General features: G+C 38.8%; 1 annotated feature.

The window, feature by feature from the left end:
• Positions 1717-2217: an enhancer, noted in NCBI's record as "H3K4me1 hESC enhancer chrX:51260667-51261167 (GRCh37/hg19 assembly coordinates)". NCBI's record gives its function as "activates a minimal SCP1, AML or CMV promoter by ChIP-STARR-seq in primed H9 embryonic stem cells {active_cell/tissue: H9 hESC(primed)}" and the evidence as "EXISTENCE:reporter gene assay evidence [ECO:0000049][PMID:30033119]".

Genomic DNA, 11351 nt, shown 5'->3' on the forward strand with positions numbered 1-11351 from the left:
CTTTGTTGGTTTAAAGTCTGTTTTATCAGAGACTAGGATTGCAACCCCTGCCTTTTTTTGTTTTCCATTTGCTTGGTAGATCTTCCTCCATCCTTTTATTTTGAGCCTATGTGTCTCTCTGCACATGAGATGGGTTTCCTGAATACAGCACACTGATGGGTCTTGACTCTTTATCTAATTTGGCAGTCTGTGTCTTTTAATTGGAGCATTTAGTCCATTTACATTTAAAGTTAATATTCTTATGTGTGAATTTGATCCTGTCATTATGATGTTAGCTGGTTATTTTGCTCATTATTTGATGCAGTTTCTTCCTAGTCTCGATGGTCTTTACATTTTGGCATGATTTTGCAGTGGCTGGTACTGGTTGTTCCTTTCCATGTTTAGTGCTTCCTTCAGGAGCTCTTTTAGGGCAGACCTGGTGGTGACAAAATCTGTCAGCATTTGCTTGTCTGTAAAGGATTTTATTTCTCCTTCACTTATGAAGCTTAGTTTGGCTGGATATGAAATTCTGGGTTGAAAATTCTTTTCTTTAAGAATGTTGAAAATTGGCCCCCACTCTCTTCTGGCTTGTAGAGTTTCTGCCAAGAGATCCGCTCTTAGTCTGATGGGCTTCCCTTTGAGGGTAACCCGACCTTTCTCTCTGGTTGCCCTTAACATTTTTTCCTTCATTTCAAGTTTGGTGAATCTGACAATTATGTGTCTTGGAGTTGCTCTTCTCGAGGAGTATCTTTGTGGCGTTCTCCGTATTTCCTGAATCTGAATGTTGGCCTGCCTTGCTAGATTGGGGAAGTTCTCCTGGATAATATCCTGCAGAGTGTTTTCCAACTTGGTTCCATTCTCCCCGTCACTTTCAGGTACACCAATCAGACATAGATTTGGTCTTTTCACATAGTCCCATATTTCTTGGAGGGTTTGTTCTTTTCTTTTTATTCTTTTTTCTCTAAACTTCCCTTCTCGCTTCATTTCATTCATTTCATCTTCCATCGTTGATACTCTTTCTTCCAATTGGTCACATCGGCTCCTGAGGCTTCTGCATTCTTCACGTAGTTCTCGAGCCTTGGTTTTCAGCTCCATCAGCTCCTTTAAGCACTTCTCTGCATTGGTTATTCTAGTTATACATTCTTCTAAATTTTTTTCGAAGTTTTCAACTTCGTTGCCTTTGGTTTGAATGTCCTCCCGTAGCTTGGAGTAATTTGATCGTCTGAAGCCTTCTTCTCTCAGCTCATCAAAGTCATTCTCCGTCCAGCTTTGTTCCGTTGCTAGTGAGGAACTGCGTTCCTTTGGAGGAGGAGTGGCGCTCTGCTTTTTAGGGTTTCCAGTTTTTCTGCTCTGTTTTTTCCCCATCTTTGTGGTTTTATGTACTTTTGGTCTTTGATGATAGTGATGTACAGATGGGTATTTGATGTGGATGTCCTTTCTGTTTGTTAGTTTTCCTTCTAACAGACAGGACCCTCAGCTGCAGGTCTGTTTTAGTACCCGGCCATGTGAGGGGTCAGTCTGCCCCTGCTGGGGGGTGCCTCCCAGTTAGGCTGCTGAGGGGTCAGGGGTCAGGGACCCACTTGAGGAGGCAATCTGCCCGTTCTCAGATCTCCAGCTGCATGCTGGGAGAACCACTGCTCTCTTCAAAGCTGTCAGACAGGGACATTTAAGTCTGCGGAGGTTACTGCTGTCTTTTTGTTTGTCTGTGCCCTGCCCCCAGAGGTGGAGCCTACAGAGGCTGGCAGGCCTCCTTGAGCTGTGGTGGGCTCCACCCAGTTCGAGCTTCCCCACTGCTTTGTTTACCTAAGCAAGCCTGGGCAATGGCAGCCGCCCCTCTCCCAGCCTCGCTGCCACCTTGCAGTTTGATCTCAGACTGCTGTGCTAGCAATCGGCGAGACTCCGTGGGCATAGGACCCTCCAAGCCATGTGCGGGATATAATCTCCTGGTGCGCCATTTTTTAAGCCCATTGGAAAAGCGCAGTATTGGGGTGGGAGTGACCCGATTTTCCAGGTGCCATCTGTCAACCCGTTCTTTGACTAGGAAAGAGAACTCCGTGACCCCTTGCACTTCCCATGTGAGGCAATACCTCGCCCTCTTCGGCTCGCTCACAGTGCGCGCACTGACCTGCGCCCATTGTTTGGCACTCCCTTGTGAGATGAACCTGGGACCTCAGATGGAAATGCAGAAATCACCTGTCTTCTGCGTCGCTCACGCTGGGAGCTGTAGACCAGAGCTGTTCCTATTCGGCCATCTTGGCTCCTCCCCCTAGCTGTTGTTTCCTACAGATCTTTCTTAACTTCCTCTAATTTTTTCCATGCTGTTATAATCTTCTGACATACAGTAGGATGTAATTATTCATTTTATTTACTGTTTGTATAATTACATGGAAATATGAGTTCCATGAGGGTAGACACAGTTCTCTGCTTTATTTGCTGTAGTATCTTTAGGGCCCTCAATCGTGCCCGTAGTTAGTTATTCTTCATTAAATATTTGGTCTATTTCCAAACCAGACTGGAAGTCAAAAGTAGGTGGATTCCATACATGGGGAACTCTGGCTCTAGGATGCCATGAAGAGTTCAGATTTTTTTCCTCTCTTCTTCGCCACTCTCAGTGTCCTTAACATGCTGGTCTCAAGACGGCTGAAGCACTTTTAGGTCTCTGATCTGGGCATGGTAATGTTTACAGACAGAAAGGAATATATCTTCCAATGTGCCTTTTCAAAGAGACAAGACCCATGACATAGTACTTCCCAGAAGATATCCCCACAGTCAACTCCAACGTATGGGACTGAATTAGGTCACGTGCCCATTTCAAAACCAGTGAATTTCAAGAATATTGACTGGCTTAGATAAACAGGAGACAGAATGGATGTTGGGGAGTCAATCACAATGTCCACTGAAACACATCAGTGCCCTGGTGTGATTGGATGTGTGTGCTTGTGTGTGTGTGTGTGTGTGTGTGTGTGTGTGTGTGTGTGTGTATGAACCTGAAAATGAGCTGATTTCTGGAACATAAATGTTACAAAATGAAAAGAAATAGATTAGGGTAATTAATCAGTTTGATTAAGGTTATTAATTGGTTTAAGGTAATTAAGATGGGAAAGAGCTGACATCTTGCATGGATACATTTTTGTCTGTTAATGGTATGAGACTAGCATCATTCAATATTTCCATCTCATACTAGGTAATGCTTTGACAGTGGGACCAGAAATCATGTAGAGACTTGTTTTTCCCACACAATGCCTATGTGGGTATTTCCAGAATTTCCTTTCACGGATGACTGACAAACCCCCTCCTGACTGATACATTCTTCATGTAGCCATATTAATACCTTTATTCAAATCTTAGTGTTTCTTTGACCTGGAATCAATCTTATTCTTTTTTCTTGGTTTCAGCTTAAAGTGCATAAAACGGATATACAAAGATAAATAATGAATAATTATAAAGTGAAAACCTGTGTAACCACAACCCAAAACAGTGAAATCAAATATTGATAAAACCCTGGAACCCATTATGTCCGCATCCCTAACCACCACTGTCTATCTCCTCAATAGAGGTTCCCACCATCCTGCTCATTGTTTAGAATCTCTACTTTGCTGCTCATTAGAGGTTTGATACTCATTATAGCTTTGCCACCTATGTAAACAACTAAAGTACCTTGTTCAGTTTGTCACAGTTTTATAAAATCACATCTCTGCTCAGAGTTTTTACAGTACATTTAAATAATAACCTTATTTAACTTGGTTATGGAGGCTTTCAGAAATGTTTAAAAGCAAACTCTCTTTCCACATTAAAGGGACAACAGATATTCCTTGGGTACCTACTGTGTGCTTAGGAGTGAAGAAAGTACTGGAGTATCCATGAGAGCTAAATTGTGCTGTCTACCTTCACTGAGATTAGAGTCTAGTTGAAAAGATAGTGCCTAATAATAGTGTACAGTGTTAGAACTGAATATAGTTCAGTTATGCAGCAAGGCCATGGGTATTGCAATGAGGCATTCCATGTACCACCTCTTATTGGCTCTGTAACTCTGGGAAAGTCTCTGCACCTTTCTGAGCCTGTGTATTCACTTTGAAAAGAGAGAGAGATTTAAAAGCTGCTCCCTAGGATTGTTGTGCATGGTATATTGTAGCCTCTAAATGAATGGCAGATATTTTACTATGGTACATTGGGCTAGTCAGAAGGAAGGCTGAAAATAATTAAATTCCCACTGAACATATATATTTAGCTCATATAGAAGCCTAGGCACCTTAGTACACTCTAGATGTTAGAGTGAGGATATTTGGCTCCAGGAACACACATAGGCAGCTAAGTGGAATGGTAAGAGACTAGATATTAAGATCAGAAATGTTTGGGCCAATAATTTTAATAAGGATGAAAGGTATCCTTTGTTGAGTAATTAATTATATGACTCTCAAAACTTAGAATCTTACCTCTGGTAGGCACCTCAGAGACATGGTTAGACCTGAGTCCTTGGAACCAGAACTGTCTAATCAAATGTTGTCCTCTATAAACAAGAAAGAATTTAAAAATCAATGAGAGTTAACTTTTAATGTGTATTCGCCCTGTCCAAATATTGCTGAAAACATGTGCATCATCTCGTTTAATCCTTACCATGGCCCTAGGACATAGGCAAGCTCAATGATTATCCTTTCTTACAGATCAAAAACTTTGAATTCAGAAATTATTCATAATGTTTCTGCTATCACACAGCTGATAAATGAAGTAGCCACAAATTTATTCTAGTTGTTATTCAGAGCTCACATTACTTTCCTTGGGGGAGGTACTTTTTTTCTGAGATAATTTCAAACTTGCTTACAAAAAAAGTTGCAAGAATGAGACAAAGAACCTCCTTTTGTACTTCTCCCTAATACCTCCACAGTTAACATTTGACATATTTTTACACTTGCTCTCTGTCTCTGTCTCTCTCAATACACAGATGCATAAGCACAGACACATTTTCATATATGTATTCTAAACCATTTGAGAGTGAGCTAGAGACATGTTCTTTTACTCCTAAATGCTTCAGTGTTATTTCCTGAGAATAAGGACATTGTCTTACATAAACAGTATAATTATCAAAATGTTATCTTTATTAACATTGAAACAATACTATTATCTATCTCATGTACAAATTTTATTCAAAAGTGACCAGTTATCCCAATAATGTCATTTACAGAGTTTTCTAATTTTCTGATCTATGATCCCTCTAGTGTCATGTGTTTTATGTAGTTGTTACTTCACTTTAGTCTTTTTTATTTTTATTTTTTATAATTTTAACTCACTATAGTCTTCTTTAGTTTTGAACAAGTCCTCAGATTTTCTTTGTCTTTCATGACCAAAACAGTTCTTTAATGTGTGGGCTATTTACTAGAGTGTCCTTTAATTTCGGTTTGCCTGGTTTTCTATCCTCATGATTAGATTCAATTTATACATTTTTGTCTGGAATAGCACAAAATGATAGTATTTTCTTCTCAATGCATTACATCTGTTGGCAAAGTACTTATTTATTCCATAACTGGTAATGTCAAATTTAATCACTTAATTAATGTTGTATTCAGCAGGTTATGTCAAGTAAAGTTACTATATTTTCTTTGAAATTGAAGTATTCTGTGGTGAGATACTTGGATACTGTGGACATATCCTGTCTTGTCATCCACTAATACTTCTGCCTGAGTCCACTAATGCATAACTGTTGGAAAATGATGTCTTTCTATAATAACACTTTCTTTTCCTACTTAAAAATATATTTATTTATTTAATCAACAAATAAAAATCATATATATGAATCATGTATAACATGATGTTTTGAAATATGTATACATTGTGGAATGGCTAAAATGAGCTCCTTAACATATATATTACCTCTCATACTTATTATTTCTTGTGGGGAGAACACAAAATCTACTCTCAGTGATTTTCAAGAATACAATACAGTGTTATTAACCATAGTCACCATAACGTACAGTGGGTCTCTTGAACTTATTCCTCCTATCTAACTGAAAATTTGGATCCTTGATGAACTGCTCACCAACCACCTCCTCTCAATTTCCTGGTAGCTAGGATTCTACTCTCTCCTTCCACGAGTTCAACCTTTTTAGATTCCTCACATAAATAAGATCATGCGGTCTTTGTATTTCCCTGCCTGGGTTACTTCCGTTTACACAATGTCATCCAGGTTGTCGCAAATGACAGGATGTCTTTTGTTTTTGTTTTTTAGAGACAGGGTTTCACTTTGTCACCCAGGCTGCAGTGCAGTGATGCGATCATGGCTCACCGTATCCTTGACCTCTGGGACCCAAGGGATTGTCCCAACTCAACCTCCTGAGTAGCTGGGACCAAAGGCATGTGCCACTATGCCACATTAATTTTTATTTTTTTGTGGAGACAGGGTTTCACTATGTCACCCAGGCTGTTCTCGAATTCCTGGGCTCAAGCCATCCTCCCACCTCAGCCTCCCAAAGTGCTGGGAGTACTGGCATGCATCATCATGCTCAGGCAGGATTTCCTTCTTTTTTAAGGCTCAATAGAATTCCGTTATCTCCTACCTTTTCTTGATTCATTCACCTGCTGAGGGACATTTAGTTTTATTCCATATCTTAACTGTTTTGAATAGTGCTGCAATGAACACAGGAGTCATGAGAGCCTTTCAACATTTAATAAGTTGGCATTGTACTGTCATGAAGAGTTTTCCCATTGTATTTGTCAGAGTTCTCTAGAGGGATGGAAGTAATAGGATATATGCCTATATGAAAGGGAGTTTATTAAGGAGAATTGATTCACACGATCACAATGTAAAGTCCCATGATAGGCGGTCTGCAAGTTGAGGAAGCCAGTGGTGGATCAGTCTGAATCCCAAAACCTCAAAAGTAGGGAAGCCAACAGTGCAGCCTTCAGTCTGTGGCCAAAGACGGGAGAGAACCTGGCAAACCAGTGGTGTAAGTCCAAGAGTCCAAAAGCTGAAGAACTTGGAGTTTGATGTTCCAGGGCAGGAAGCACCAACAGGGGAGAAAGATGAAGGCCAGAAGACTCAGGAAGTCTGCTCTTCCATCTTCTCCTGCCTGTTTTATTATAGTCATACTGGCAGTTGATTATACGGTGCCCACCCAGATTGAGAGTGGGTCTGCCTTTCCCAGCCCACTGACTCAAATGTTAATCTCCTTTGGCAACACCCTCACAGACAGACCCAGGAACAATACTTAGCATCATTCAATCCAATCAAGTTCACAGTCAATATTAACCATCACACCCAACTTCTTCATTTATTTACTTATTTATGTATTTACTTATATCATTATAGGTTCATGGGTATATACTTAATCACTGGGTAATGATAGATTACCATCAAAATTTATTTTGATACTCAAATTGGCCAGCATTTGGCTAGTTGAAGTGCCTTGAAACTTCCTGTACCTTTTTGTCATATATCCATCTTAGCTGGAACACTTTCTTTACTTTCTAGTGCAACAAGATGTTCCTGCCTGTTTGTACTTTCCCTGTTCCAGCCCTTGAGTCAGACATTTCTCTAAAAAGCCTCAGTTTATTTTAGTGTACAATGCTTTTTACAAGCAAGTCTGCACTCTGAATCACCTGTCTCTACTGACAATATGACTTTGAAACCCTCCAAACTTTCCTTAATTCTATTTACCCAGTGTGTAAATGCACATAAAAATAGGATTTTTGTCTAGGTATGTTGCGAGGTTTAAAATAAGGTATTGGGCCAGGCGTGGTGTCTCATGCCTGTAATCCCAGCACTTTGGGAGGCCAAGGTGAGCGGATCACCTGAGGTCAGGAGTTTGAGACCAGCCTGGCCAACATGGTGAAACCCTCTCTCTACTAAAAATACAAAATTAGCCTGGCATGGTGGAGCATGCCTGTAATCCCAGCTACGTGGGCGGCTAAGGCAGGAAAATCGCTTGAACCCGGGAACCGGAGGTTGCAGTGAGCCAAGATCATGCCACTGCACTCCAGCCTGGGCAACATGAGTGAAACTCCGTCTCAAAAAAATAAATAAATAAAATTTAAAAATAAAAACATAAAATAAGGTATTGAAAGCATTTAGCACTGTTCATGGCACAAAAGTAATTTTGGTAATTTGACCATTTGAACATGAGAATGAGTAATAATCATAATAATAACGGGTTGTGACCCAATTAATAAAATCAGAATCCATAAGACCAATTGAAAATAAGTGGGAGCTATTTTATCACCATTTTTGTTATTATCAAATACCCTTGACAGTGAATAAGTTTTACCTCTAGGAAAAATTTCAAGTTTACACTTATAGCCTTGTCAAGCAAAAGTAAGATCTGCAGAATCACAGAGCTTGAGAAAGTACCAATATGGGGGAATGATTCCAGAAGCAGGCAGGCCTTAGGCCTTGATGACTGGCAGGACTTCACTGTTTGAAACAAAAAAGATTAAGTGAAGAACAGCAACTACTCCTACAACCCCTGCTACCAGAACCCCATATTTCCCCTATCATAGCCGCAAATCCACTGTTCCATAAATAGTTACTTGTCTGTGTACTTCATTAGACTGAGAGCTGATAGTTGTGACTTATTTGCCAACTTATCCCCAATGCCTGAAATGGTGTCTGTAGATAGGAGACATTCAATAAATGTTTGCTGAATGAATGAATGAAAGTATTAATAATTTCAAATATGTCGTGAGGATAATTAATGAGAGAAGGAAACTGAGACTCAGAGAAGTAGGGAAGCGTGCCCAAGGTCATACAACTTTTTTTTTCTTTTTTTGAGACAGAGTCTTGTTCTTGTTGCCCAGGCGCTGGAGTGCAATGGTGCAATCTCAGCTCACTTCAACCTCTGTCTCCTGAGTTCAAGTGATTCTGCTGCCTCAGCCTCCCGAGTAGCTGGGATTACAGGCACCCACCACCACACCAGGCTAACTTTTTTGTATTTTTAGTAGAGACGGCCTTTCACCATGTTGGCCAGGCTGGTCTCGAACTCCTGACCTCAGGTGATCTGCCTGCCTTAGCCTCCCAAAGTGCTGGGATTACAGGCCTGAGACACCATGCCTGGCCCAAGGTCATACTACTATTTTAGTAAGAGAGAGAGGGAGGCAGAATTCCATTCTGCCCTGACTCTAGTAGCTTTGGGTGTATTGGCCTCTCTAGATACTGAGCCTTCCCAGTAAGATTAACTTGTCTGATTTCCATGTTTACCAGAGTTCAAATGGGAGTCCCATATGTGCCAAACTATGTATGCAAGACTGGTTCAAGGGTTTGGTAATTAATTCAACAACTATTTATTGATTGCTCAATATAGGCCTTACAGGTTCTGGAGATACAGCAGTGAGTACAACAGATGGATAACCTCCTCTTATCAACATTCCATTCTGGTGCACAGAGACAGAAAATAAGGGGATACAGAAAACTTAAGATGGTAAAGAAAGTAAAGCTTGATTAACAAATAGAAAATTACCCAGCATGTGTGTGTTTGAAGGAGGGAGTGGCTATGGAGGTGAGAGGAGGCTTGTTAAGTTCAGAGGACCTGGAGGAATTTTCTGTGTCTGGAATTAGAAAGGGATGCAGGCTGGGAGTTGAGGTGAGAAATTAGAAAGTCGAAACCTCAAGAAAATAAGCCACTTAATGTCTATGAGACTAAGTGTTCTCACCTGCAAAACAGGGATTCAAACATTTGAGGTACCGTGTAAAAAATGTAGTGTAAAGCTCAAATCTGAAAACATTAATGTTATTCAGCTGATTTATTGAACAATAATAGCAGCTGGTACTTTTGAATGCTTGCTGTTTGTTAGGCAGTATGCTAGTTGCTTTCCATGTTAATTTCATCCTCTGCAATGAAAAGTAGTTAGGGTTTTTATATTTTATAAGGTTGGATAGCAACTGATTGCAGGTATTAGGATTAAAGCCCAGGCTCAGTCTGTCAAACTTGAAAAGCTTGTTCTTTTTCACAAGTTTGTGCTTCCAGAATCGCAAACAGGCAACTGATAGTGACCAAGATGAATTGAGTGGTACAACATTTAAAAGACAGTTATAAAACTTACTTAGCATAGCATTTATATAATTATTAATGAAAGGAAAAATAATGATTTATTATTTATATTTCAATCTTAGTATCTAAACTTATATTTTTATATTTTATTAAATTAATTTCTAAAATTCTTACACTAGCACATAATACTAAGTGTTTGTATTTTTAGAAGTGACATAAGATTTTCTTTTTAAAGTTTTATTTTATTTTTAGTTGGCATTTAATAATTGTACACACTTATGGGGTGCAATGTGATGTCTTGATATATGTATACATTGTGTAATGATTAAATCAGGATAATTAGCAAATACATCATACCAAATATTGATTATTTTTTGTATTGAGAACATTCAAAATACTCTCCTCTAGCTATTTTACAATATAGAATATATTATCGTTAACTATCGTCACCCTACTGGACACTAGAACATCAGAACCTCTTTCTCCTCCAGATGGAAGATCAACAAGGAAATATAGAACTGAACAATGTTATAGACAAAATAGACCCAACACACATATAAGGAACATTCCACCCAACAGCAGCAAAAATAATCATTCTTCTCAAATGCACATGGAACATTCTCCAAGATATCTCATAGTAGAATCTCATATCAAGTCTTAACAAATTTAAGAAGGTTGAGATCAATCTAAGTATCTTTTCTGATCACAACTGAATGAAACTAGAAATCAGTAATAAAAAGAAAATGAGGAAGCTCACAAGTGCATGGAAATTAAATAACACGCTTTGAAACAATTATTATGTCAAAGAAGAAATTGAAGATGAAATTAGAAAATATATTGAGACAAAGGAAAACCAAAACACAACACAGTGAAACATAACATGCAGCCAAATCAGCACTAAGAAGGAAGTTTATAACAATAAATGGTTTATTAAAAGAAGAAAAAAAAGGAAAGAGCTCCAGTAAACTAACTTTCTCCCTCAAGGAACTAGATAAAGAAGAACAAGCAAGTCAAAGTTAGCAGAAGGAAGTAATAATGAAGGTTATAGCAGAAGTAAATGAAATAGAGAATAGAAAAACAATTTAATAAAATTTTAAAAACCGAAGAGTTTTTTGAAAAGATAAATAAAATGGACAAACCCTTAGCTAGACTAATAACAAAAAAGAAAATATTCAAATAATACAATCAGAGATGAAAGAAGAGACATCCCATGGCTGGGGGTAGGGAGAGCTATAGGAACTATTATGAACATTTAAATGTTAATAAATTGGATAACTCAGAAGAAATTGAAAAATTCCTAGAAACATAGGACCCACTGAGACTGCATCAATAAAAAATATAAAGCCCAGACATACCAAAAAACAAATAATGACATTAAAAGAATAATCAAAAATGTCC

This window comes from Homo sapiens, chromosome X (assembly GCF_000001405.40).
Source record: "Homo sapiens chromosome X, GRCh38.p14 Primary Assembly".
Taxonomy (NCBI): domain Eukaryota; kingdom Metazoa; phylum Chordata; class Mammalia; order Primates; family Hominidae; genus Homo; species Homo sapiens.